The following is a 27,941-nucleotide window of genomic DNA, read 5'->3' on the forward strand; positions in this document are numbered from 1 at the left end:
CCAGGCATGTGCTGGTGGAGGATGAGGACTTGGGGACATGCCGTTGCAGAATGACTTTCTGTGGAGTGTGCTGGTGGAGGGTGAGGTTCCATGGAGCATGCTGGTGTCAGATGAAATCCTGTGAACTTGGCGTTCCTTTTCACCTCTTCCTTTATGCATTTGTAGTTGGCGTTCCGGGCCGCGTGGCGGTGAATGCCTTGGCTGTAGGAGAACCCGGAACGGCCTCCAAACCAGCTTCTCCCATTGGAGGGCCGACCCAGGTAAGCACCTGAGCTTGAGACCCCGGTGCACGTGGACAGGTAGCTTTCCAAGAGCTGCTCGTTGTGTTTGGTTGTGATATTTAAAGGCTCCTGTGAATTCTCAAGTGATGTTACTGAATTCTTATTTTAAAACACACATTTTCTAATAAAATAAATGAAACTGGACTTACGACTGCCACAATCTTTTTTTGTATTTTTTATGTCCTTCTGCAAGTCTTCCTGGGCATTAGAATTGCTCACTTGTGTCTTGAGAAATACTTCCCATCTTGGCAAAGAAGAGAACGCTTGTGCTCTCGGCTTCATTTCCATCTCTATTTCCTGTAGCTCTCGGCTTCATTTCTATCTCTATTTCCTGTAACACAAGACCGGGGATATTGAAGTGGATCTCATATGTGGGAAATCACGGGCTGGGTGGGGGGTTGGTGAAGACAGGAACTTGTCATTCTGTTTCTCAAGTAACTGTTTTTCATCACTTTTTGATAAAGGAGGAAAAGACCAGACTCTTGAAAGAGCGCCTGGATCAGATTTATTTAGTCAACGAGCGGCGCTGTTCTCAAGCTCCAGTCTATGGCAGAGACTTGCTAAGGATTTGTGCCCTGCCTAGCCATGGAAGGGTACAGTGGCGTGGGTCCCTGGATGGCCGTCGTGGGAAGGAGGCCGGGCCAGCGCACAGTTACACTTCATCCTCAGAAAGTCCAAGTGAGCTGATGTTGACGCTTTGTCGGTGTGGAGAGTCTCTGCAGGATGTTATTGACAGGTACTGCAGACCTCGTGACCTTTTCGGTGCTCTCTGGCTGCATTGCACCCCGGCAAGACCCCTTCTTGTCTCGTGGATGTACATCTTACTCCCATCGGCTTCTCCCCACGCTGTCCCTTAGCGGTCTGTTTTGAAGTTAGTCTTTGAGGTCTTCAGCTTTGGGATCAGATGGTTTTGTTATCTGGGTCTCAGTGCCAGGTGCGGCTTCTGAAGGAAGTTGGCAGCCCTGGGGGCAGAGCCGCAGCACTGAGCTCACACTGTGCTTGGGGACAGATCACTGTGTTGCTAAGGACTTTCTCCATTTGACTCTTTCAAAAAATGATTGCATTAAAAGAGCCCCATGAGTGAGTGAACATTACATGATGACAAATGTGGGCAGGAGTTGATCTCAGAACGTGCTTTAATGGAGAGCAAATCTGAGCACCGGTGGGCACGGTGGGCACCCGGCCGCTCTCAACTGAGCTTGCTTTCAGTAGAGTGCGTTACCCTGTTTGCATTTCCACTCCCTGCTTGGACCCCATCTCCAGGCTCCACTTCAGACATGTTTTCTTCCCTTCTTTGCAGCTGTTGTAGTTCTCAGTTGTCTCCTGTCTGCAGAGGGCAACCTGGCTTCTTCCTGTGCCTTGGCTCAGCTCAGCTTTCAGGATCTACCTATTTCAGTTCTTTCAGATCAGGAAGCAGAATTAATGGAAAAAAAGAAAACTGGGAGTGCTTCTCCAAGGCCGAACAAGCCACTTCTGGCTTCTCCTGGTCTGGGAGTGACTATGTCAGTGACCTTGTGCTCCTGGAGTTTTTCTTTCGAGTACTGATTTGTCTTTGTGTACTCCTCCCTCATTGAACATCATGGGTGACCATTCGTTCAGTTTGAATACAGCTGGGAGTGAGTCATAGTTGATGTCCATAGCAAGGGCCTTCTGGTGCAGGTGACCTCCACAGGTTGCAAGGTGGGCCTTAGGTTGGCTGTGCGATCTTCGCTCTATTGTCATTGTCCTGAAGGCTCCTTCACCCTGAGTCTGGCCCCCGTCCTGGTGGCACAGTGGCTATAGCAGTTCTAGGGTCCACGAGACAGTGCACCTTTGTCCCAAAGTTTCCAGCTGAAGACACACTAGAAAGAGAATGGCTTATCTCTGACCTGGTGCCTGCGGCCTAGGGAATCCACCCCCATTGATCCATCAGCCCTGGACTGTCTGAATTAGTCCCCGAGGTGGTGGTTATTGGCCAGGACTGGTTAGGATCTGCCTCGTTGGGCCCCTGCCCGTGTGCCAACACCCACATCCCCATGTGACTGGGTTGAGCCCTGCTGTTTCCTGGGACTTGGACTGTCAGAAGTCTGCCCCATCTTTCAGGAGCCCCCATGCTGGGTGAAGGTGTGTGGCTCCTGGTGGTGACAAAACATGCTTTCTGCTCCTCAGGGTGGCCTTTGTGATTCCTCCGGTGGTGGCAGCACCCCCGTCCCTACGGGTGCCGCGGCCGCCACCCCTGTACAGCCACAGAATGAGGATCTTGAGGCAGGGCCTGAGAGAGCACGCTGCGCCGTACTTCCAGCAGCTGCGGCAGACCACGGCTCCACGCCTGCTGCAGTTCCCTGAGCTGAGGCTGGTGCAGTTCGACTCAGGTATGCGGCAGTTGGGGGCGTGGCCCGTGCGGGAGCTGCACCGGCCCTGGATGATGAGGCGCTCTTGATGTGATTCGTTTCCCAGGGAAGTTGGAAGCTTTAGCTATCTTGCTTCAGAAATTGAAATCTGAAGGACGTCGGGTGCTGATTTTATCACAGATGATTCTTATGTTGGACATTTTAGAGATGTTCTTGAACTTCCATTACCTCACCTATGTAAGAATCGATGAAAATGCCAGCAGTGAGCAACGGCAGGTGAGAAGCACATTGTTTACATTGTCTCTGATGGGTCAGTCACTGGTGTTGAATGCCTAAGTGCTGTGTAAATTCAGTGGTCTCATGGCCCTTCTAAGTGAAAGGGGAGGGACTTAATGAGCTTCTGAACTTTTTAAAGTCTCAATCCATCCTTCGATATTTTTTATTAAAAGCCACGTTGTTAGGTAAATGCAGTCTTGATGTCTCAGAATAAATGCCGGTGACCTGCAATCATCATTAAGACGATACTGGCGTACTTCAAGAGGTGGCTACAGGGTAAAAATATGAAAACAATTCCAACCAATTTAGAATGAAGGGAAATACAAGTTAGGGTAATATGCCCATTGTTTACTTACAAGATTTGCCAAGGCTGTTTTGTTTCATCAGGCACAGTGAGTCAGACACTCTCATATCCTCCCGTGAAAGCATAAACTAGTATAGTTCTAGAAGGCAGCCTGGCAGTATGGATTTGAACCTTAATAGTGATGTATGCTTGACCTAGTAATTCTGTATTTAGGACCCTTTACTTACATGACAACAAACACACCACTTAAGATCTGTCTACATAGTTGTTGTTGAAATGTTTATGGTAATTCACAGTTGAGAACAAAGTCAGTGTTCAGCAGAAGAGTGAGTGCATAAGGGGTTGTCCATGGGCCCCGTGCCCTGGCAGCTTCATGAGCAGAAACTGCCCAGCATTTCACGTGGTGTGCTAGGCCCTTGTCAGCAGCATTTCAGAGCCAGTTTTAGTAGCATGGCCCAGTGTCCCCCAGCGCAAAACCAAGTTGCTGCCCTGTAAGTCGCGCAGCCTGCTTTATCTCACACACACGCTCATGTACACGCTGGAGAGGCCTAGAAAGAAATAGAGCAAAAGGTGATTTAACAAGTTTTCTTGGTAATATTATAGCAAATTATCTGTAGAATGCCTGGAAGGAAGAGAGTTGGTCAGTGATTAGGTTTCGTTTCTGGCACAGAAATCGTTATGGAAGAAAAGTATTCAAGTCATCTCCCTTCATGGTCAACAGTGAGGTTAGAGGACTATCCTTCACGGTTTTGTTTTTCCTGCTTCCTCAGCCTTACTCCAGGGACTTTTTGTTGCCTGTAAAGTGCTCTGGCATTGCCTGAGGATAGATGAGAAAGCACATATCCCTCCCCAGTAAGACGCTGTTTTCTTTTGGGGCCTACAAGTTGAGCTGACAGTAAATGCAAGGTGGACTCTAACTTTTTCCTTCTTGTCACTCATGGCTGATGTTATTTAAACTGTGCATGAGGGTGTTGGCGATGGGTGAGCGTAAGATGATAGTGGCTGCACAGAAGAGCTGGAATACAGTGCGGGGACCTTGGTGTTGCTTTAACATGAGCCTCGTGTTGAATGGAATACAAACCAAGCAGTTTTGCTATGGGATAATTTCTTTTTTGAGACAGAGTCCTGCTCTGTCGCCGAGGCTGGAGTACAGTGGCGCAATCTTGGCTCACTGCAGGCTCCTCCCGGGTTCACGCCATTCTCCTGCCACAGCCTCCCAAGTAGCTGGGACTGCAGGCGCCTGCCACCACGCCCAGCTAATTTTTTGTATTTTTAGTAGAGACGGGGTTTCGCCATGTTAGCCAGGATGATCTCGATCTGCTGACCTTGTGATCCACCCACCTCGGCCTCCCAAAGTGCTGGGATTACAGGTGTGAGCCGCCACGCCCGGCCTGCTGTGGGATTATTTCTAATTAATAAATGTTGAAACGTGTCAAAGGTTTCCCAACATTTTCCAAGAATACTAACTCCTGTGTTTTGTTTCATCTTAGGAACTGATGAGGAGTTTCAACAGAGACAGGCGGATTTTTTGTGCCATTCTCTCCACTCACAGCCGTACCACAGGTATAAACCTTGTAGAGGCGGACACCGTCGTGTTTTATGACAATGACCTGAATCCAGTGATGGATGCCAAAGCTCAGGAGTGGTGCGATAGGATCGGGAGATGCAAAGACATCCACATATACAGGTGAGGGCCTGCGGGGGATAGGATCAGGAGATGCAAAGACATCCACATATACAGGTGAGGGCCTGCGGGGATGGCCGCGTGGAAATGGAGTCAATGAGAAGCTTTGCAGGAGATATTGGTGCAAGAAGCACTAATGCAGAAACAAAAGGTAGCACTAAAGACAATGCATGATATCTAATTTTAAACTAGGGTTTGTTTTCCTTCAGACAAACTTACATTTCTGCTATTTTATCTATCTATTCCTTTTATTTATACTCAACATTTGCTTGAAATTGTAAGTTAGTGATGCTGCTCACACAAGTCATCTTGCCATCTTCAGTTTTTACGTGTGGTACCTCTTGCAGAGTATCTCAGTCTTAAAAGTACGATTTAGATTTTGGGTTGTTTTAATTATGAACTATAAATTATCTGTTAGTAAAATGGCTATTGAAAGAATGGTCAACACCTGTGAAAAGAAGAGAAAAGAGAATTAGTTTTTTTTTTTTTTTTTCTTTTTTTTGAGATGGAGTCTTACTCTGTCGCTCAGGCGGTAGTGCAGTGGCACGATCTTGGCTCACCGCGACCTCTGTCTCCCGGGTTCAAGCAATTCTTCTGCCTCAGCCTCCCGAATAGCTGGGACTACAGGCGTGCACCACCACGACCGGCTAGTTTTTGTATTTTTAGTAGAGACGGAGTTTTACCACATTGGCCAGGCCGGTCTCGAACTCCTGACCTCGTGATCCGCCCGCCGTGGCCTCCCAAAGTGCTGGGATTACAGGCATGAGCCACTGTGCCCAGCCAAAATCTATTATTATGTTTTTGTTTGTTTGTTTTTTGAGACGGAGTTTCGCTCTTGTTAGCCAGGCTGGAGTGCAATGGCGTGATCCTGGTTCACCGCAACCTCCACCTCCTGGGTTCAAGCGATTCTTCCGCCTCAGCCCCCCGAGGAGCTGAGGTTACAGGTGCGCGCCACCATGCCCTGCTAGTTTTTGTATTTTTAGTAGAAACGGGGTTTCACCATGTTGGCCAGGCTGATCTTGGAACTCCCGACCTCAGGTGATCGCCCGCCTTGGCCTCCCAAAGTGCTGGGATTATAGGTGTGAGCCACCGCGCCTGGCCTATTATTATCTGTAAAGATAAAAACTATAACTGTCAAAACACAATTGGGGGAAATGGGGAAAGGTTACTGTATATTTTTAAATTTCTAAGTGCTTACTGTTACAGTGTAATAGTAGATTTACTTCTTCTGCTTATTTTATGCCTGGTTGTGTGCCGAGCACATCCTGGGCTCACCTCTCATGGTGACCCGTCAGTTCCCAGTAGGGAGCCTGAGACTAGACAAATATGGTCCCTGCATGAGGTCTCCTAGGTGGTAGCTGACCCTGGAACTAAAACCCAAGTGTGCTTTAACCTCTTTTTTTTTTTTTTTGAGACGGTCTGTTGCCCAGGCTGGAGTGCAGTGGCATGATCTTGGCTCACTGACGCTTCTATCTCCTAGGCTCAGGTAATCCTCCCGGCTCAGCCTCCCAAGTGGCTGGGACTACAGGTGTGCAGTACCATGCCTGGCTAATGTTTGTATTTTTTGCACAGACAGGGTTTTGCTGTGTTGCCCAGGCTGGTCCCAAACTCCTGGGCTCAAACAGTCAGCCCGCCTCAGCCTCCCAAAATGCTGGGATTACAGGCATGAGTCACTGCACCCGGCCAACCATTTGTTTTTTAACAAGATGGTTGGTGTCATAGTAATTCAAATGCTGTATTTAAATTGTTTTATTATTATTTTTCTTGCTATAAATGCATTACATGTTCCTCGAGGGAAAAAAGGAGAGCCTGTAAAGAAAAACAAGGATCCTGCAGAGGCAGCAATTATTAACATTCAGTTGCACATCTTCCCAGACACGCTTCTGCTTCTTGAAGAAGGCTCACACTGTGTCTTCTTTTGTAAACTTTTTTTTTCTTTTAACAGTACATTATACATACATTTCCATGGTGATGAATATAAGTTTGGTGCATGGTTTATGTTGAATGGATAAGGGCTTAGTGTGGAATCCATTCTGCATTGTTGGCCCTTAGCAATTACTAGCCAGAAATTGGAAAAGTGTTGTATTCTCAGTATCAATAAAGTCTCAGGCATGGCCTTAGCGGTGCAGGAACAGGGCATCTGAAGTGAGGCATGAGGTGGCCTTGAAGGATGCAGGATGGGCTGTGCCAAGTGTGAAGACACACTTTGTTCTCGAGTGGGTAGACTTCATTCATGAACATGTGAAGTTTCTCCAAAGTAATACTAAAATTTAATATATTTTTGTGAAAACGCTCCTCATGGGTGTGAAGGTTCTATGCGTGCACACACACGGTTGGGTAAGGTGGTGCCAATGTGCTTGCAGTGTGGACGTCCTGATGAAGGCCGCCATCATGATGCTCAGTGTTGCGGGTGGGAGTGTGCCCCACTATGAGCCATGGGAACCCCCAAACTGCATAAGGGTGCTGTTGGTGTCGGGGCAGATAGCCCGGCACCCATGGGGATTTCGCATGTTACAAAGGTTGGCTGTCGCAGTAACTGGAGGGCCTTTCTGTCATGAATGTGCCGCACACCTTGTGCTCCACGAGTGAGAGGAGGGGCTTGGAGTGCTGCTCCCACGCCTGACCATGGCGGAGTCCAGAGGGATGAAGGACTTGAATGTTTTCGGTGGAGCAGCAGTGTTAGAACACTCTTGAAGAGACAGTACCTGTGGCCGAGAGCTGGAAGGGACCGCCTGACCCACACAGACCCCAAAGTCAGGGGAGACAGGCACACAGCTGCAGTGAGACAGGAAGCCAAGCGTTGTACAGATACGGTGAGCCCAGTGGACAGGCGGGTGATAGAACAGGGAGATTTGCCATTCTCAGTGCAAGTAAAGAGTTAAATACCTCTTAAAAATCGAGAAGATACATAAAGACCCCCCCTTACTCTTAAATAGGAAGGGCCTGTGAATATGAACAGTCCATCCCAATTGGCCAGAAAGTGTGAGAGGCCGCTCCAGCTCACTGGTCTGGAGAAGGAAGGACCAGTTTAATGCACGATGAGATCTCTCTTCTCATGCCCCGGACAGGTGAGACCTTAAGGGAACGAGCCTGTTCAGCCTGGCACTAGAAAAGGGGACGTCCTCATGTTGATGGGGATGTGGGATTGCTATCTAAGGATGTGTGTCGCAGCTTTGTCACATGGCACAAAGCAGTCACTGGGGCACAGCCATCCCACGGTGTTGAGCAGCCAGGTGGAAAATGAGCTCATGTCGAGGGATTTCTGTAATACACTGCTTAGGGAGGACAGCAAAATGCAGAGAAGTGGGAAGTAAGGCGGACATTTTCCCCACACGGTTGTGCACGAAGTGACGGTACATGGAGCATCGTGGAAGGGCACACCCAGGTTCACACACACAGCATCGTGGAACAACACACCCAGGTTCACACGGAACGTCATGGAAGGGCACACCCAGGTTCACACGGAACGTCGTGGAAGGGCACACCCAGGTTCACACACACAGCATCGTGGAACGACACACCCAGGTTCACACAGAACGTCATGGAAGGGCACACCCAGGTTCACATGGAACGCTGTGGAAGCGCACACCCAGGTTCACATGGAACGTCTTGGAAGCACACAGCCAGGTTCACACGGAACGTCGTGGAAGGACATACCCAGGTTCACGCGGAACATCGTGGAAGGACACACCCAGGTTCACACGGGGCATTGTGGAATGACACACCCAGGTTCACACGGAACGTCGTGGAAGGGCACACCCAGGTTCACACGGAACGTCGTGGAAGGGCACACCCAGGTTCACACACACAGCATCGTGGAACGACACACCCAGGTTCACACGGAACGTCATGGAAGGGCACACCCAGGTTCACATGGAACGCTGTGGAAGCACACACCCAGGTTCACACGGAACGTCTTAGAAGCACACAGCCAGGTTCACACGGAATGTCGTGGAAGGACACACCCGGGTTCACACGGAGCATTGTGGAACACACCCAGGTTCACATGGAGCATCATGGAACAACACACCCAGGTTCACACGGAACGTCATGGAAGCACACAGCCAGGTTCACGCGGAACGTCATGGAAGGACACACCCAGGTTCACACGGAACGTCGTGGGAAGGACACACCCAGGTTCGCACGGAATGTCGTGGAAGCACACACCCAGGTTCATACGGAACATCGTGGAAGGGCACACACAGGTTCACATGGAACATCGTGGAAGGACACACCCGGGTTCACACGGAGCATCGTGGAACAACACACCCAGGTTCACATGGAGCATCATGGAACAACACACCCAGGTTCACACGGAACGTCGTGGAAGCACGCACCCAGGTTCACACTGACGTGGCTGCTGGGGCGGGGGGCAGGAGAGGCAGGCCACCCTCCCTGAAGCAGCCATGAAATATGCCAGTTAGGAAAAGTGTGCCCGCGGAAGCGCACACTGTCACACGTGCAGCAGCACCTTCTTGTGAACCAAGGTGGGTGGAAATGCCATCCCCACTTTTTTTAGTGGTTCTCAGGGTGATTGGAATCCAGGCGATTTTTGTTTTGTTTTGTTTCTTATGCTTTTATGTAATCAAATAATTTATGATGAGCATGTAGTAATATAATCAAGAAAGAGTAGATTTTCATTTAAAGGCCAGGAAAGTCTTCCCAGGTGGTGGTTTGCTGTTGATGAAGTTGTCCATCCACTATTTCCCTTTATCACGTATTTAGTTCCTTTGTTTGTGTCTGGGTTCACGTCTTCACTTTCCGTGCTGTTCCCTATGATGGTTTCTCTTTAATATTTAGGATCCTTTTAATTTGGAATTTTCTGAAAAAAATTTTGTTTTCATCTCTGAAAATCATGCTGTTAAAGTTGTTTAATGTGAGCTTTTTTGAGGTTTAGCATTTAGCATTTTACAGGCAGATGAGCCTCATGGGAAGGCAATAGACTGCATGGTCTGTTCTGTGTCCCCAGTGATGGAATCTTGAGGAAGCCTTGTGTCCCTGCACTGGGGGTCCGTCTGTCCAGTGGGGTGACATCTGCAGCTCACGGTCGTAATTGAACACCTCTTGTGGGTCTGGTAGTGTACCGGGGTTAGAAAGAGAAAAACGCCCATAATTACATGAGAATGAGGTGTCTCATGAGTGTTAACAAGCCAGTCTGTGAAGTGATCAGTTCTGCCTGTTGGGCTCAGTGAAAGCTTCAGAGAAGATAGATGCTGGAGGTACATCTGGAAGGACCAGGTGGGACATTTCCAGGTTGAGACTGGTGGGAGAAAAACGGGATGGCGGGTGGAAGGATGAGGTGGCACAGCGAAGAGTCTTCCGGAGGGGCCTCCTGTCAGCTCTCTGGGAGGCGGGAGAGCTAAGATTGGAGGGGCTGGCTGAGAGCGGCCTTTGGTGCCCCACGAAGGCATGTTCTGAGCAGGGGTAGCTGGAGGAGGGACGTGGATTCGTTGATCACCATCTGCATGCTGTGCCCACCTGTTGTCACTGTGTTTCCTGGTGACTGACTTAGCATCTTACATCTTTTGTTTGCAGGCTTGTGAGTGGCAATTCCATTGAAGAGAAATTGTTGAAAAATGGAACTAAAGATCTGATCCGAGAAGTGGCTGCTCAGGGAAATGACTACTCCATGGCTTTCTTAACTCAGGTACTCCTTATTCAATGAGAGGCCTGAGGTGAGACCCGCCATGCGGCGCGTGGAATCGCATGGTGTTAGTGCACACTAGCAAGGGGCTTAGGTCTCCAGCTGAGGTCAGATGCACACTTGGACCTTGTACTGGGGAGTAACACACATCTCTGTGTTCAGCGAACCATCCAGGAGCTGTTTGAAGTTTATTCTCCCATGGATGATGCTGGCTTCCCGGTCAAAGCTGAGGAGTTTGTGGTGCTTTCTCAGGAACCTTCTGTCACGGAAACCATTGCACCCAAAATTGCAAGACCTTTCATAGAGGTAAGAATACATTGAATCTGGCTGAAGAGTTGCACGGTGGGAGCCGGCGGAACACCTGCACCCTCCCCCAGGGTTCTGGGTGCTCAGTCCCCACTCTTCCCTGGCCTGAAGCCCTCTTCCCGTCCCTGCTTTTGGAACCTCCCCACTCCCTTCTTTCTGTCATGGGGATTTTGAACTGTAAATACAAGTGAGGGGAATGGTGGCGAAGGTCGCGGACCACAGGCCTGTCACCGAAGCAGTCGCTGCCGTCTTCATCTGCACTTTGCCACAGTCTCAGCTCCTTCCCCTCCCCATGGAAATCTATCCCTGCCTCCTCTGGAGGCTCTGCGGGCACTACCCCTACTCCCCTCTAGCTGGCTGTGTTGGCTTCTCCCTGAGCAGTGCAGCCATGAGTCTGCACTCAGGTGCTGAGTGTAAGGTGCTGGTTGATTGCAAAGACTGAGTATAAGAAAGAACACAGACTATCACGTTGATACTTTTGAGTGTTGACTACATGTTGAAGTGATAATATTTTGGCTATCGGGTTATGTCAATATTTTACTGTTTCGGTGTGGGTAGTAGAAGATAGAGGGCATGTTTGGGTCCTTTGATTTTTCCCTTTTGGGGGTGCTGCTGTGTAGACATGTCACAGACCCGTCACGGGGCCGCTGTTCCCTCCCTGTCCCCGTGGCTTGCCCGCCAAAGCCCTGCAGCCCCACGTCCTGGAGATGGAGGCCTTCAGCTGCCTTTGTTCTCTGAGTCCCCTCCTCCTTCATGTGGCCCTGCCACTCCTCCAGAACTTGTTGTGGGGTCCCCGTTTCTGTGCCTCTTACCTTGGAAGGATTTGGTATCCCTGTACATCTTTCTTCCTGCCCTGTTTGACTGCAGCGCATGACTGCATGGGCTTCTCTGTATGTTTTTTCTTTTCTGTGAAAGTGTTAAAGACCAGACCAGGCACACTACACAGCCCCTCAGCACCTGTCCGCCGACACCCGAGATTGAGCCTCCCAGCCTCATGGTGTCAGCCCCCTCCTTGCCTGTGCTCAGCTTGTTCTTACCAACTCTGGTGCTGTCTCCTCTTCCATTTCTAAACATTACTCAGTTACTGAATAAGTAAGAAATACTTGGGGTATGACTCTCTTAGTCTGTCTGTGTTGCTGTAAAGGAATACCTGAGACTGGGTGATTTATTTTAAAAAGGGGTTTATTTCGCTGGTGATTCTGATGGCAGCAGAGTTCAGGATTGAGCATCTGTCTGGTGAGGGCCTCAGACGGCTTCCATGGTGGTGGAAGGGGAGGGGGGAGCTGCATGTGCAGGCCACGGAGTGAGAGAGGGAGCAAGGGGCAGGCAGCAGGCTCCCTTTAATAGACTGGCCCTCACAGGACGAACAGGGTGAGACCCACTCCCCCAGCCCCAGAGCGTTTCTATTCCTGAGGGATCCACCCGTGACCCAAACCTTTGAGAATTTATAATGAAAAGCCAGTCTCCTGCCCTGCCCCCAACCCCGCCACCACCCCGTTTCTCACATTTCTTCTAGAGATTGCATGTGTATCATTTCCTTTGCACAGAAATACCTTACAGATTATTACATATGAGGAGGTATGGATCAACCTCATTGTGTTTTAAGGAGGTAATACATGCATGAGGTTGAAAAAGAAAAACAACACAAAAGCGTAGCTGGGGCCAGGTGTGGTGGCTCAGGCCTGTAATCCCAGTACTTTGGGAAGCCGAGGCTGGAGGATGGCTTGAGGCCAGGAGTTCAAGACTGGCATGGGCATCATAGTGGGACCCCATCTCTACAAGAAGAATTTTGAAAACTAGGAGTGTGGTGGTGAGCACCTGTAGTCCCAGCTACTGGGGTGGCTGAGGCGGGAGGATCACTTAAGCCCAGGAGATTGAGGCTGCTGTGAGCTGTGATCGTGCCACTGCACTCCAACCTGGGTGACAGAGTGACACCCTGTCTCAAAGATAAAATATGCAAAGGACCTGACTCTGCATGTCTCAAAGGAAAACATGTAAGTGGCCGATGTGTAGACGAAATAATGTCCAGCATCACTAATCATCAGGAAAATCAAATAAAAACCACAGGAGGTACCAACTGGCACCTATTGGGATGACTGTCATCAAAACGCAAAAGATAGCGAGTGTTGGCGAGGACATGGAGGAAAGGGGCCCGTTGCACTCTGTCCCTGGGAACGTCGTTGGCACAGCCACCATGGGAGACGGCAGGGAGGTTCCTCAAAAATGTGGAAATAGAGCTCCCACCTGATCCAGCAATCCCACTGCTGGGTGTATATCCAAAGAGTTGAAATTAGCGTGTAGGAGAGGCGTCTGTACCCTCGTGTTCATCGCAGCACTGTCCCAGCAGCCAGGACATGGAATCAACCCAAGTGTCCATCAGAAGTCTGTGGATTTTCCATATTGGCTGTGTTGTTTCCCAGCAGCATAGTATTTCAACACACAGATTCTTTTGAAACATACTTGTTGATTGTCTTACTGTGTGTCAGGCACTGTTATAAGCAGTGGGGATACAGGGTCGAAAAAAGACAAAAATTTCATGAAGCTTTTATTCTAGTAAGGAGAGAGGCAGAAACCAAACCTAGTGAGTAAAGCATGTAATTTATTCACATGAGAAGTTGTGAAGTGCTGAATCCAGGGGAGAATGTGGTCACCACAGCAGACAGGTTAGTGTGGCTGAGGGGGTGGGGAGGGTGTGACCAGGTGAGGCCTGACTGTAGGGAGCCCTTGGAAGGGTTTGAGTCAAGCTGTGGCACGGGGTCTGGCATCACCTAAGAGAGTCGCTCTGACTCCTTTGTTGAGACTCAGTTGTAGCAAGGCAAGGGGGATCCTGGGGACCAGTTAAGAGTCCCAGAGCAGTAACACTGGTGAGCAAGGCTGGTGAGGACAACTGGGGGACATGTGGGGGCAGCAGGCGGGTCTTTGGAGGACAGAGCCAGCAGGACTTGCTGCAGTGGGTGTGTGAGGAGGATGGCTGCTCCTCACTGGCTTGACCGGCCCCTGGGGACAGAGAGGTAGGTTAGCCTTGGCCTTTTGCCAGCGGAGACAGATCCACGTTAGCGTGCTGTACTCGTACCTGCCGCATGGGACTGTGGCTATAGGATTCTTCTGTCATTGGCAACGCTCATCAGAGGATTTGTGCCTGCAAAATGGTTTTAAGAAAAGTCCTTGTTGACATGCAAAAACAAAACATACAGCAAGTGTACACATTACAAAGATTCCAGCTGGAGAAATGTTCAGTCAGTAGAAGCACCTGGTAGCCAGCATCTGGTGGAGGAGGAGGATGCGGCGGGCTCCTCAGAAGGCCTGTCCCCCAGCGGTGCTGCCTCTTGCGAATTCTGACAGCACCGCCTGCTTCTGCACTTTCCATACGTGGAGCCTCTTCCTTCGGGTCTGCCTTCTTGTGCGTAGCAGTCTGTAACTCGTTCTCATTGCTGTCTAGAGTTCTGTCTGAATATACCGCCGTTTATCAGATCTGCAGCTTGTGGACGTGATGGAGTGGTTCATTTGAATTGTGCTCCTGTGGATATTTGTATCCTTGTCTTTTGGTAAGCACGTATGTGCAATTCAGGCTGCTTATGTTTGATTTCAGGAGATGCTGTGGCTGTGCCGGGGATGCTCCTGCCATGGGGTTGTTCTGGGTGGTGGTGTGGAGGCAAAATTGCTGGTCCTTTCACTGTAGCTGCAGGGCAGAATGTGGGATAGTCTCATTGTGGTTTAATTTGTGGTTTTGCTGTTGACTGATGAGTTTGAGTGCCTCTTCATATATTTACTGGCAGTTTGAGTACTTTTTAAAGAAATGCCAAGGCTTTTCCCAATTTTTTTTAAATTGGATTTTCTCTATTTCTTTTTTTTTCTTTTTCTTTTTTTTTTTTTTAAGACGGAGTCCCACTCATCGTCCAGGCTGCAGTGCAGTGGTGTGATCTCAGCTCACTGCAACCTCCACCTCCCAGGTCAAAGTGATCCTCCAGCTCAGCTTCCCAAGTAGCTGGAATTACAGGTGCATGCCACCACGCCTGGCTAATTTTTATATTTTTAATAGAGACGTGGTTTCTCCATGTTGGCCAGGCTGGTCTTGAACCTCTGACCTCAGGTGATCTGCCCGCCTTGGCCTTCCAAAGTGCTGTGATTATAGGCATGAGCCACCGTGCCCGGCCAGTTGTCTCTGTTTCTTAATGACTTGTTGGAGTTCTTTATGTATCCCGATAAAAGGCCTTTGTTTGATACACTTGACATATCTTTCCCATTCTGTGGTTTGCCTTTTTAAACGCTGTGTATTGATGAGCAGAAGTTCTGAGTTCTAACACCATCCAGGGCCCACATCTGCCGTCTTTATAGTGGGTGCTTTTTGTGCTCTGCTGAGGAGATTACTCTGCCCACCTGAAGGTCACCGGGCATCCTCCTCTATTTTCTTCTACATGTTGCATTGTTTTATGTTTGCTATTTAGGTGCACCACCTATCTGGCAATAAGTTCTGTGTATCGTGTCAAAGTAGTGTTATATCACTTTGAGGGTTTTGCCAGATTGCCCTGGAAACAGATTGTACCAGTTTTTAATTTGTATCTTCTAACTAAAAACCATACCTCCATGTCAGATGTCTTTTGCCCACATCTGCTAGTAACTATAGATGTGTGTTCCTAGCTGTTTCAGCAGATGAACAGTGGCATCTCGTCATTCTAACTTGTGTATCTTGCACTGTGGTAAAGCTGTCTTGTATGTTCATAGTCATCCATGCTACATTTCGCGGTGGACTTGCTCCGGCTGCTGTAACGTTGGGCTGTCCGTCTGCTGTCTGTTTCCTGGACAGCAGCCTCTGTCCTGCTGTGTCTGTCAGGAGCTGTGGGCAGTGGTGTGCATCGGGTCTGAGATGGAGCCTCCTTGGGCCTTTCTTGTTCTCCAAGCTTCCTTGGCCCTGGGTGCCCTGGCACGCTTTGCCTGCATCAGTGCTCAGCTCTTCCATGGGGCCTGCCTGTCCAACTCGATAGTAAGGTTAGCAAGGCCCAGGAGGTTTCCCACTCATTTTCTGTATTCCCTAAGTGCCTTATCATTTTCACCTGTAAGAGGACCTCAGGGAAGGAGTGGATTACCTTTATGGAGAGTGGGTGATTATAGTGGAGGCATCTCCATTAACTTTACATGGGATAGCTCTTTTTCAAACTACCCTCATTTAAAAAGTCTATCAAGGCAATCTAAACATAGACTTTCCTCAGGCCCTCAAGAGTATTGAGTATCTGGAGGAGGATGCCCAGAAGTCCGCACAGGAGGGGGTGCTGGGACCACACACTGATGCTCTGTCATCAGACTCTGAGAACATGCCGTGTGATGAAGAACCATCCCAATTAGAGGAGCTAGCTGACTTCATGGAGCAGGTTTGGGCATGTTTTCCTTTACAACTACATATTTTAAAAATTTGACGCTTCTATAAAATATTTATTGTTTACTGCAAGAAAAATCACTTTTTGATTCAAATGTTGGTTAGTGGATTGTATAAGGAACTTGACTTTTATTAACTTGCTATTAACCCTATTCAAAAAATATACTTTTGGAACAGCTTACACCAATTGAAAAATATGCTTTAAATTACCTGGAATTATTCCATACTTCTATTGAGCAAGAAAAGGAGAGAAACAGTGAGGTAAGAGAATCAACTTTTGGTCAGTGAAAAAAATTTGCAATATTTTCAGAGTTAAGTTTGATTTGAAGTAAATGTGACTTCATTAAATTAAAGTCACAAAAGCCAAAACCCACAAGTATGGAAATGAACTTAAAATGAAGAGAGTCTCGAGAAGCCCGTAGGGACCGTGGAGCTTGTTCACCCCCACGTAGGGACCATGGGGCTTGTTCTCCCCTCGTAGGGACCGTGGAGCTTGTTCTACCCCTGTAGGGACCATGGGGCTTGTTCTGCCCTCGATGTCTTTGACTGGATTTGCAGCAGGCTGCTGCTTGTGGGGGTGATGCATTGTGGAGCAGTGTGTGTAGAGAACATGTGGCTCTGAGACAACAGGGAAACCTGGAGCAGGGACTCGGGGGCTGCTCTGAGCTGCACTCCTGATCCTGAAAGTTCTTGCTGCTCTCCCCGTCAGGACGCAGTGATGACTGCAGTGAGGGCATGGGAGTTCTGGAACCTGAAGACCCTGCAGGAGAGGGAGGCCCGGCTGCGGCTGGAGCAGGAGGAGGCGGAGCTCCTGACCTACACGCGAGAGGATGCCTACAGCATGGTACCCGGCCCGGGGCCCTCCTGCCCTCTTGCCCCCCTGCTGAGGGGCACTTGTGCAGCCATGTTTGGCTTGTTCAAAGTCTGTGTACATTGACATGAGAAAATGCCTAGGAATTTTTACTTCTCATATCAACACAACCTCACTTATGTTCTAAAAACACAATTTTCTTAAAAATTGACACTTGGAGATTGTCAGTTAGATATTGACCAGCTCTGATTAAAACATTTATAAGTCTTATAAATAGTCATGTTGATCAGAACTTATTTGAAAGACTTAATGAGTATGAAGGTACATGATTTGTGGCTTATAACATGACACTGAGACTTGGTGGAAGTCAGAGCTTGCCGTGTTCCCTACAGGAGTATGTCTACGAAGATGTCGATGGGCAGACAGAAGTCATGCCGGTGAGTGCTGCCCTCTCCCTTTGTGTCTGTGTGGGCAGCTTCCTGTGAGTTCCACATCTCATGGGCCTTCCCTTCTCCATGCAGCTCTGGACCCCACCCACCCCGCCGCAGGACGACAGCGACATCTACCTCGACTCGGTCATGTGTCTCATGTATGAAGCCACTCCCATCCCAGAGGCTAAGCTGCCCCCTGTGTACGTGAGGAAGGAGCGGAAGCGACACAAAACAGACCCCTCAGGTGCGCATCCCGAGGGCGTCACATGACCTGGGGGGGCCCTGGCCTGCAGAATCCCTGCATGTCAGCCACTTTCTGCTGTCTGCCTGTCTGCTGTCTGCCTGTCTGCTGCAGGGCTAGCGATCACACGCCCATCCGCTGCCTCTCAGGCCATGTGCACAGGTTATGTTGTTTCCAGTGAGGAAACCTTCGTGTTTCATTCTAATTGACCATGAAGGCCCGAAAGCAGGTCTGTCTTTGGCAGGTGCTTTCTGTGGCCTCTTTGCCCAGGCACCTCCAGACTTGCCTGACCTGTTTCCTTTGTCTTTTGCCTGCCCGTGTGGAATCTCCTGGTTTACTCTCTTGCTGAAGACTGCCTCTCTGTTCAGCTGCAGGCAGGAAGAAGAAGCAGCGTCACGGGGAGGCGGTCGTCCCTCCTCGGTCCCTGTTTGACCGCGCAACACCAGGACTTCTGAAAATTCGCAGAGAGGGCAAGGAGCAGAAGAAGAATATTCTGCTGAAGCAGCAGGTGCCATTCGCCAAGCCCCTGCCAACTTTTGCCAAACCCACAGCTGAGCCTGGTCAAGACAACCCCGAGTGGCTCATCAGTGAGGACTGGGCGCTGCTGCAGGTAGGTGGGCGTGGTCTTTGTGCCAGCGGTCATGTGCGGTCATTTTTCTAACGCACGTCCGTGCATCCAGCTCACTGTGATCACTTTGCAGGGAGTCTTTGGCAAGAGGGAAGACCTTCTGACTTAGAGTGTATTCACCTGTTTTACCTGAAATCTCCTTCTCTAGGCTGTAAAGCAGTTACTGGAGCTGCCTTTGAACCTCACAATCGTGTCACCTGCTCACACACCTAATTGGGATCTTGTCAGTGACGTTGTTAACTCCTGTAGCCGAATCTACCGCTCTTCCAAACAGTGCCGGAATCGCTACGAGAATGTCATCATTCCACGAGAGGAGGGGAAGGTAAGCACGGTCTCGTTTGTCCTTCGAGGAGAGCACAGGCAGGTGTGGTGGCCGTGGCCTGCAGTTTCAGCTCCAGTCCTGCTCTTCACTGACTGGGCTCCTTCATCCCTGTGGGTCTGCGGTGAAGTCCATCTCCTTGGGCTCCTGGTGGACCCAGCGAGGTCAGGTGTCTGCACTGTGCCTCGCCTATGGCATGAGCAGTGATGGAGGAGTTCACGTTGTGCTTGTTGGGATCATGCTTGGTGTTGGCAGCAGGCCTCGTACCTGATGTTTTATCTGATACCAACATTTGCACTGCCGTTGTCATTTCTAAGATAATGAGGGTGTCATCTGAATACTTGGCCATATATATATACATTTTCAAGAACGTTTTGGATGAATGAAAAGACCTCTCGCTTGGTTTTGATCATGGCGTACTTAAATGAGGGTGTCATCCAAACACTTGGTCATATATAGATAGACATTTTCAAGAAGGTTTTGGGTGAATGAAAAGATAAGTTGATAAGCTGTCTCGCTTTGTTTTGATCGTGGCGTACTTAAAGAAAAGTCTGTTACTGGTACCTCTGCTATTCTGGTACCGAAAGACTGGCTGGCTGCAATGGTTTGACAAGCATAATATTCTCTGTTTCAGGGTTAACTATAAGTATTGCAAATGTTTATTTACGTGTAGTGTAGTCAAATCATTGGTCTTTCATGTAAGAAGTCAGCTGTGTGGTTTGTAGCTTGACCCCCGAAGAGTCCAGGCGGCTGGTCAGTAACATACAGGCATGCGTGTGGCATGCCTTCCCTCGAGCTGAGTCATCCCTCTCTGTTCTGCATCTGGCTTTCTTCAGGCAGCTCCTTCTTGCTGCTTGCCTGCCTTTCTCGCCTCAGGACAGCATCCAGAGCCCCCACACCAGCAGCGTCTGCATGCTCTACTGTGCCCACGTTGCCAGTGTCCACACCCATTGGGAGGTGTGCTGCCTGACTTCCAGGGCACGTGCCATGCTGGCGTGTGGGGACCACCGCCTTTCAGTTCACCTCATGGAGCCCATCCAAACAGGAGCTGTGGGCACATCTTCTTGCATGGAACAGGGTGGGACACATATAGTAGAGGCAGGCATCCAGTACTTTTATTGTATTTACTTTTGTTCCTAATTTGTGAGAATTAACATTTTCTCCATAGTAGCCAGATCCATCCTCAGGATGCGAACATCACACTTAATTTATTTCTGTACCCACTCTTTCAGTCATCTGTCTTTTCATTTTTCTAAAAACACTTGTCTCAAAGCATTTGTTTGTTTTTTTTGTTAAATGTAGAAAAGCAAGTTTTCTTCGTAATACCACTTTGTGGTCCCTTCACCAATAAGACTTCCTGGAATCTTGCATTAATTAGGTTTTCTGTGTTTTGGAAGCATTTATAATAATAGCCATTACCTTATTATGGAAAAAAAATTAAAGCTAAAATATTGTATTGGGGGAACCTGCCCCCGATAGTCACGTAGGTTCTTTTCTATTTTCCCTAAGTGTTGGCCGGTCTGAGAAGTAAAGGGAAAGAGTACAAAAAAGAGAAATTTTAAAGCTGGGTGTCTGGGGGAGACATCACATGTCGGCAGGTTCCGTGATGCCCCCTGAGCAGTAAAACCAGCAAGCTTTTATGAGTGATTTCAAAAGGGGAGGGAGTGTATGAATAGGGTGTGGGTCACAGAGATCACATGCTTCACAAGGTAATAGAATATCACAAGGTAAATGGAGGCAGGGCGAGATCACAGGACCACAGGACCAGGGCGAAATTAAAATTGTTAATGAAGTTTCGGGCAGGCACTGTCATTGATAACATCTTATCAGGAAACAGGGTTTGAGAGCAGACAACCAGTCTGACCAAAATTTATTAGGCAGGAATTTCCTCATCCTGATAAGCCTGGGAGGGCTACAGGAGACTGGGGCTTATTTCATCCCTACAGCTGTGACCGTAAAAGACAGCTGCCCCCAAAGCGGCCATTTCAGAGGCCTACCCTCAGAGACGCATTCTCTTTCTCAGGATGTTCCTTGCTGAGAAAAAGAATTCAACGAATTCAGCAATATTTCTCGCATTTGCTTTTGAAAGAAGAGAAATACGGCTCTGTTCCGCCTGGCTCACCGGCAGTCAGAGTTTAAGGTTATCTCTCTTGTTCCCTGAACATTGCTGTTATTCTGTTCTTTTTTTGAGGTGCCCAGATTTCATATTGTTCAAACACACATGCTCTACAAACAATTTGTGCAGTTAACAAAATCATCACAGGGTCCTGAGGCGACATACATCCCCCTCAGCTTACAAAGATGATGGGATTAAGAGATTAAAGACAGGCCTAGGAAATCACAAGGGTATTGACTGGGGAAGTGATAAGTGTCCATGAAATCTTCACAATTTATGTTTAGAGATTGCAGTAAAGACAGGCGTAAGAAATTATAAAAGTATTAATTTGGGGAACTAGTAAATGTCCATGAAATATTCACAATCCACGTTCTTCTGCCATGGCTTCGGCCAGTCCCTCTGTTCGGGGTCCCTGACTTCCTGCAACAATATTGTCTTCTTTTATAGCTGATTTATGAAGCTAATCCAAAGAAAAAGGCAAAAATATTTGTAAAGTTTGAGAGTGATTTTTTTTTTTTTTTTTTTTAGACGGGAATTTCACTGTTGTCACCTAGGCTGGAGTGCAGTGGCACGATCTCGGCTCACTGCAACCTCTGCCTCTCAGGTTCAAGTGATTCTCCTGCCTCAGCCTCCCGAGTAGCTGGGATTACAGGTGCATGCCACCATACCCAGCTAATTTTTGTATTTTTAGTAGAGGCATGTCCTCTACTGCTAGAGGAATGCCCTAAATTTCACCAGGTTGGCCAGGCTAGTCTCGATCTCCTGACCTCAGATAATCTACCCACCTCGGCCTCCCAAAGTGTTGGGATTACAGGCATGAACCACCAGCCCTGGCTGTGGGTGATGTTCTGAATAAGTTGGAGCACTTTGTTAAGAGCCTGTGCACAGAAACATAGAGTAAGATTCAGTCTTAACCTGTATTTTAGGAATCAACAGAAACCTGAGACCTAGAATTTTCTCCAGGGCCTCTCATTCTGTACATAGAGGACATGCCTCTTTGCATTAGAGGACCCCATGGTGACTTGCCGAGCCCCCTAAAGGACATCCTGAGCCTCCATGACCCTCACTCCCTGTGGAAGCCCATGATAGTGACAGTGGTCGGATGTGTGCGTGAGTGGGACAGCCCCACCTCTCAAAGCCTGCGGGGGCTCCAGCAAGCCATGCGGGGCGGGGCATTCATGCCTGGTTAGAGCCTGCACAGGAGTTCCATTACCAGACACACGGTCTTTCCATCTCTGACTTGGCTCAGTTGAGCCATCCAGTGTCATGTGTGATAGGCCTGGTATTAGTCTTATGCACCCCTTCTCCCTGCTTCCCTTTGCTTACTCTTAGGATAATAGGTAGGAGGAGAATGCTTCCCTGTATGGTACAGTGTTCCGGAAGCAGACTGCTGTGGCCTTGCATGTTGGTTTCTAGTTCTGGTTGTCCTTGGTGTTGCCTTCAGAATTTAAGGCATTCCTCTAGCAGTGGAGGACACATGTGCACACAGACATGTATACATGTACCTGCACAGACACACCCATACCTGGGCCTGTGCTGCTGTGTCATGTGAGAGTCTTGGTTTTCGCCTTGGCACACTCTCTTTGACCAGGGTTTAGAGGAGCATGGGGGAAGAGCCCTGGGTGAGGAAGGAGGTGCTTGAGCCCTGGTCTTGACTTGTCGCTACCTCTGTGACCTTGCACAGACAGCATTCCTGGGACAGCTGTTCACTTCACAGGATAAGGAGTTGCTTTAAAATTCTGCAGGATTCTAAGATGTCTTGGGAGCACATAGCCCACAATTGAGTGGCCCATTGTTTAGCTGTGCCATTTATGAAGGAAAGACTGCCAGCCATAAGCACTGCTAGAGACCCCAAGAATGTACTTTGAGACACCACTGGGCATGCGCCAGCCTCACTGTCCACCGTGGGCAGATGACAGTGTTGTCCGTGGCAGTCCGCGCTGCCCCTTGGTGTTAGCGGGTGAAGGCTCACAGCCCGCTCCACACAGTCACCTGCCATGTGACCTTGGGCACTTTGCACACCTGTTTTGTTCCCTCTCCCTCTTGGGGTGATTATGGGGCTTACGTGAGAGAACACCTGGAAAGGATTAGCATGGACTGGAGAGTGTCACAGCAGTCGGCCGCGACAGCCACTTAATGCCGCTGCTGTTGGGTTATGCCTGAACTTGGAAAGAAGGCCCAGGAAAAGGAAGTTTGTGTTCAGCCATGGGGAGTTTAGCCTCAGATTCCCACCCAGTGAGCCCTGTGTCCCACGCAGCCGTCTGTCCATGCTGCCTAATTCAGATGCACTCTCGTCAATTTCATTGCAGAGTAAAAACAACCGTCCTCTCCGTACGAGCCAGATCTATGCCCAGGATGAGAATGCCACACACACCCAGCTGTACACGAGCCACTTTGACTTAATGAAAATGACTGCTGGCAAGAGGAGTCCCCCAATCAAACCTCTGTATGTTTCCTGAGTGCTCATTTTATGTTCATTATGACTGAGTAGATTGCGTGAAGCTTGGTTTTGATGTGTTTTTAACATACCCTTCTTCAGATATTTCCTTTATTTAATAATTGCTGTCTCACTGTCTATACTTCAGGCTTGGCATGAATCCCTTTCAGAAGAACCCCAAGCACGCGTCTGTGTTGGCAGAAAGGTATTTCTCTATTCGTGACACATTTGTTACTGTTTGGAAGGATTTCATTCCAGTGTCATCTAAGTTCAGTGAGTTCAGCAAATCGTTGTGCACTTAGCGTGTTCAGGCATCAGCTGGACGTGGCAGTGCGCAGAACCTGCAGGAGAGAGGTGCTTTTCCTGCCGTGGGCTAGGGTATGCATAGGACGGCCCCTGCCCTGTCTCTGTGTTACAGGGATTGTCCTTGCTGGCCCTCAGTGGGGAAAGACGCTGACAGATGTGATGAGTGTGCCAGGGCCATGTGGCCAACCACAAGGGGCTTTCTTCCTCACACCCCACCTCTCAGGCACTGATTTTGTTCGCCATATCTTAAGAACACACCACATTTAGGGGTGTGTGTACCTGCCCTGAAGTTATACAGGGGAAAAGAGGAATGAATGAATGGATGGGTACAGAAGTGGGTAGATGCAAGAAAGTAAATGGGGTAATGGATGGTGGAACCCCAGTGTGGAACCTTACTGCCAGGCACATGGGTGTCTGTAGCGTTTCTGACTGTCGGACTCTTTCCATAAAATGTTGGAAAGGAGGTCTGCTGGGATGAAATGATGTGCATCTGGTTTAGGCACTGTTGTCTGTAGGCTCCAACCCTACAGGGTCGGTGGGTTTCTCCCCGTGTGCGGAGACGAGAGAGCGTAGAAATAAAGACACAAGACAGAGATAAAAGACAGCTGGGACTGGGGGACCACTACTACCAAGACATGGAGACCAGTAGTGGCCCCAAATGCCAGGCTGCACTGATATTTATTGGATACAAGACTCAGGCAGGACAAGGAGTGTGAGCCATCTCCAGTGATAGGTAAGGCCACGTGGATCACATGGCCACTGGACAGGGGGCCCTTCCCTGCCTGGCAGCCGAGGTAGAGAGAGAAGGAGAGAAACATCTTACATTATTATTTCTGCTTATCGGAGACTTTTAGTACTTTCACTAATTTGCTGCTGCTAACTAAACGGCAGAGCCAGGTGTACAAGATGGAACATGAAGGCAGACTAGGAGTGTGACCACTGAAGCACAGCATCACAGGGAGACGGTTAGGCCTCCGGATAACTGCGGGCGGGCCTGACTAATGTCAGGCCCTCCACAAGAGGTGGAGGAGTAGAGTTTTCTCTAAACTCCCCTGGGGAAAGGGAGACTCCCTTTCCCGGTCCACTAAGTAGTGGGTGTTTTTCCTTGACACTAATGCTACTGCTAGACCACGGTCCGCTTGGCAGTGGGTGTCTTCCCAGACGCTGGCGTTACCGCTAGACCCAGGAGCCCTCTGGTGGCCCTGTCCGGGCATAACAGAAGGCTTGCACGCTTGTCTTCTGGTCACTTCTCACTGTGTCCTCTCAGCTCCTATCTCTGTATGGCCTGGCTTTTCCTAGGTTATGATTATAGAGCGAGGATTATTATAATATTGGAATAAAGAGTAATTGCTACCAACTAATGATTAATGATATTCATAGATAATCATATCTAAGATCTATATCTGGTATAACTATTCTTGTTTTATATTTTATTATACTGGAACAGCTCGTGTCCTTGGTCTCTTGCCTCGGCACCTGAGTGGCTTGCCGCCCACAGTTGTCACACAGTGGCGGATTTGGGAGGCTTCCTCGTTCTGTGGCCCCCTTTCCGCACAGTAGTGGAGTGATCCTTGTCAGAAGGAGTTGGCTCAGGGCCCATCTCCGCAAACCCCCAGGACTCCCTACTGCCCACGCTCTGAGTCGCCTGGCCCTGGCTTTCAGCCCCTTGGTGCTCCCTGAGTGTGCTGGCAGCCGCGCCCCAGCCCTTCACTTAACTGCCCTCGTGAGATGTTTTCAGAGCGCACTGTTGAGAATTGCAGCCCCGCCCTGCTGTTTTCCTCCATAGCAGCCAGTACGTCTTCAGACCCACTGCACATTTTACCTGTTTGTCGTCTGATGTGAGTGCTGTGATCGCTGGGACTCTAGCGTCTGGGAGCACAGACCCATCATTTGATTGATGTTGTCGATTAAATGAAGAGTTAATTCACCCTACTAATATTTATGGACCGCGGGCCTGCGCGGCGTGGAGCCTGGGCATTCTCGGGGGAGCGAGAGAGGCACAGTCCCGCCCTCCCTTTACCTCCCTGGAGAGGAACTCGAGGGCATCCTCACAGAAGGAACAGACAGAGATTTTCCCAAGTACAGTGCAGACACATGAGGTGGGCTGTGCGTTTGGGGGCTGCCACAAGTACGCTGGGGACGTGTTCGGAGATACTTTTCCTGGAGAGTGGGAGAGCTCGGCCTCAAGGAAGAGGACTCAGCGCCAGGCTGAGGATGAGGTCTAGGTGGCTCGATCTCCTGCAGGGCACATTGGGCACCTTGCTTTACGCCCTCATCTCTTGGGCTGGAGCTGCCCCAGCACCTGGCAGCATGGTGTTTCTAGGGTACGTGGTACTTGTCTGTCTTAAAACTTGCCTGTATGTTTTTAACCTTTGCGTCTGTCTTTCAGTGGAATCAACTATGACAAGCCGCTGCCTCCCATCCAGGTGGCATCTCTCCGTGCAGAGCGAATCGCAAAAGAGAAAAAGGTCAGCGCCCTGGGCCCTTCTGCTTGAGTGGGAAAATGTGGTGACTGTGACTTCATCCAGGGGGTATGCAGGCCGAGTCTGCCCCTCCAGTGGCTCCTCTTCCTTCCTGGCCCCTCAGGCTCTGGCTGATCAGCAGAAGGCACAGCAGCCGGCCGTGGCCCAGCCACCCCCGCCCCAGCCGCAGCCCCCACCACCCCCGCAGCAGCCACCGCCACCGCTGCCACAACCACAGGCAGCGGGCAGCCAGCCGCCAGCAGGGCCACCAGCTGTCCAGCCCCAACCCCAGCCACAGCCCCAGACCCAGCCACAGCCTGTGCAGGCCCCAGCGAAGGCGCAGCCCGCAATCACGACGGGGGGCAGTGCAGCCGTACTGGTGAGCAGGGGCCTCCTCCCGGGCTTCCCCTCTACGGGAAGTCACCCACACCTGCACTTGATTCAAGTGCTTTCTGTTGAAACGAAGACTTGTTGCCAGTTCTAGCACATTTCCAGCTTGTAGACCTTCCTCTGAAGAAATGGGAAAAGGCTTAGTCTCATCCCAGAGGAATTGTGTGTTTTCACCTGGATTCTGCCATTTCTCTCCTCCAGGGCTTTTGTGGGCTTAGTGGCTTTATTGGATTTGGCAGGTAGAGGCAGCTCCTTTTAGTGGAGGTGGTTGGGAAGTTTGTAATTGCCTGGGTTTTGTAAAACATACCTGTGACGCATTCACTTCCTGACTTCCTACACACTTAGAGAGCAGGTACTGCCTGTGTCGGTGTCTCAAAGCATGCCCATGTGTGCTCCCCCACACAGGTCAGTCTTTAATGCCTGTTGTAGAAAAGCTGTAAAGCACACAAGAAGCATTGTGAAAAGAAAGGCAGGGTGCGGAGCTGCGGACTGTGGCCATGCACACCACGCTCTGGTGTATCTCTGTACTGTGTGCGTCCGTGTGCCACACAGACGCTGAAATCATATGCGCAGAATCACACCTGCAGAGAATAGGAGCTGTGCCAAATTGGGGAAACCCACACTTTGGACTACCAGGCAGGCATAAAAATATTTTTGTTACATAGAACCATTTCCTGCAGTAGTTTTTAGAAAATTGTTTGCTGTAGTGGAATTTTTATATGTACTCAGGCAACTTCATTCCTCATTTATTCAAAAGGGATCTTTGTGAATACTTACTTGGTGCAAGGTGGGCAAGATGGGCAGTGCCCACATTCTGGAGCCACGTCCTACAGGGGAGGGAGGCAGCCAAAGGGATCATTTTAAATGCTGGCGGGAGGAGTCAGGGTGGCACAATGCAGGACTGGCTTGTTAGGAAACACCTTTCTGAGGACTTGGCATTTGAGCTAAGGCCTGAATGACAAGGAGTTGGTCATAAGAAGAACAAAACAGCAAGTACAGAGGCCCTGAGCTTGGCTGATATGGGGGCCAGAAAGCTCAGTGTGGCTGGACTCAGGTGGTGAGGGACAGAGGGTGGATGAATGGAGTGGAGGGACGGAGGAGTGGAGGGACAGTGGGGTGAGGGTGGAGGGACAGTGGGATGGAGGGTCCCTGGGGTGGAGGGACAATGGGATAGGGGTGGAGGGACAGCAGGTAGACAGAGGGTGGGGGCACCGCCAGGTGGAATGAGCTGGGGAGGATGGGACAGGTGGCTGTGTGAATGTCGTGGAGTTTGGATTTGATTCTGAATGAAGTGGAAGCCTTTGGAGGATTTATGCAGGGGAGAGCCTGACGTGAAATTCAAATGGATTTTTTTTTTTTAAATAGGCAGGAACCATTAAAACATCAGTTACTGGGACGAGCATGCCCACTGGTAAGACAAATACAGAGATGCTGAAATGTGGACCCCATTTCTCCTGGCGCTGTTGCCTTATGCCCGCCTGTCTCCGCAGGTGCCGTGAGTGGAAATGTGATCGTGAACACCATCGCAGGGGTCCCAGCTGCCACCTTCCAGTCCATCAACAAGCGCCTGGCGTCGCCAGTGGCTCCTGGGGCCTTGACTGTGA

General features: G+C 49.6%; 1 protein-coding gene and 1 non-coding gene across 2 annotated transcripts in view, besides 2 other annotated features; both read left to right on the forward strand.

The window, feature by feature from the left end:
- EP400 (E1A binding protein p400) overlaps positions 1-27,941 on the forward strand; it is a 130,519-nt gene that overhangs the window by 77,330 nt on the left and 25,248 nt on the right. The window contains exons 26-45 of the mRNA NM_015409.5: positions 166-260; positions 746-1,017; positions 2,430-2,632; positions 2,718-2,887; positions 4,682-4,878; positions 10,411-10,522; positions 10,682-10,825; positions 16,033-16,191; positions 16,374-16,457; positions 16,906-17,040; positions 17,400-17,444; positions 17,529-17,682; positions 18,048-18,289; positions 18,456-18,629; positions 23,052-23,188; positions 23,328-23,384; positions 25,875-25,953; positions 26,072-26,326; positions 27,703-27,748; positions 27,828-27,937. Of these exons, the coding sequence (NP_056224.3) occupies positions 166-260; positions 746-1,017; positions 2,430-2,632; positions 2,718-2,887; positions 4,682-4,878; positions 10,411-10,522; positions 10,682-10,825; positions 16,033-16,191; positions 16,374-16,457; positions 16,906-17,040; positions 17,400-17,444; positions 17,529-17,682; positions 18,048-18,289; positions 18,456-18,629; positions 23,052-23,188; positions 23,328-23,384; positions 25,875-25,953; positions 26,072-26,326; positions 27,703-27,748; positions 27,828-27,937 (2,870 nt within the window). The remainder of the gene's footprint in view (positions 1-165; positions 261-745; positions 1,018-2,429; positions 2,633-2,717; positions 2,888-4,681; positions 4,879-10,410; positions 10,523-10,681; positions 10,826-16,032; positions 16,192-16,373; positions 16,458-16,905; positions 17,041-17,399; positions 17,445-17,528; positions 17,683-18,047; positions 18,290-18,455; positions 18,630-23,051; positions 23,189-23,327; positions 23,385-25,874; positions 25,954-26,071; positions 26,327-27,702; positions 27,749-27,827; positions 27,938-27,941) is intronic.
- Positions 733-1,027: a silencer, noted in NCBI's record as "tiled region #9648; HepG2 Repressive non-DNase unmatched - State 15:Elon, and K562 Repressive non-DNase unmatched - State 17:Gen3'". NCBI's record gives its function as "represses a minimal TATA promoter and a strong SV40 promoter by Sharpr-MPRA in HepG2 and K562 cells {active_cell/tissue: HepG2 | K562}" and the evidence as "EXISTENCE:reporter gene assay evidence [ECO:0000049][PMID:27701403]".
- Positions 3,953-4,089, forward strand: SNORA49 (small nucleolar RNA, H/ACA box 49). Its single transcript, NR_002979.2, has one exon. It is a non-coding gene; the product is annotated as a small nucleolar RNA, H/ACA box 49 (small nucleolar RNA).
- Positions 22,205-23,176: an enhancer, noted in NCBI's record as "NANOG-H3K27ac-H3K4me1 hESC enhancer chr12:132534021-132534992 (GRCh37/hg19 assembly coordinates)". NCBI's record gives its function as "activates a minimal SCP1, AML or CMV promoter by ChIP-STARR-seq in primed H9 embryonic stem cells {active_cell/tissue: H9 hESC(primed)}" and the evidence as "EXISTENCE:reporter gene assay evidence [ECO:0000049][PMID:30033119]".

This window comes from Homo sapiens, chromosome 12 (assembly GCF_000001405.40).
Source record: "Homo sapiens chromosome 12, GRCh38.p14 Primary Assembly".
NCBI classification, from domain to species: Eukaryota; Metazoa; Chordata; class Mammalia; order Primates; family Hominidae; genus Homo; species Homo sapiens.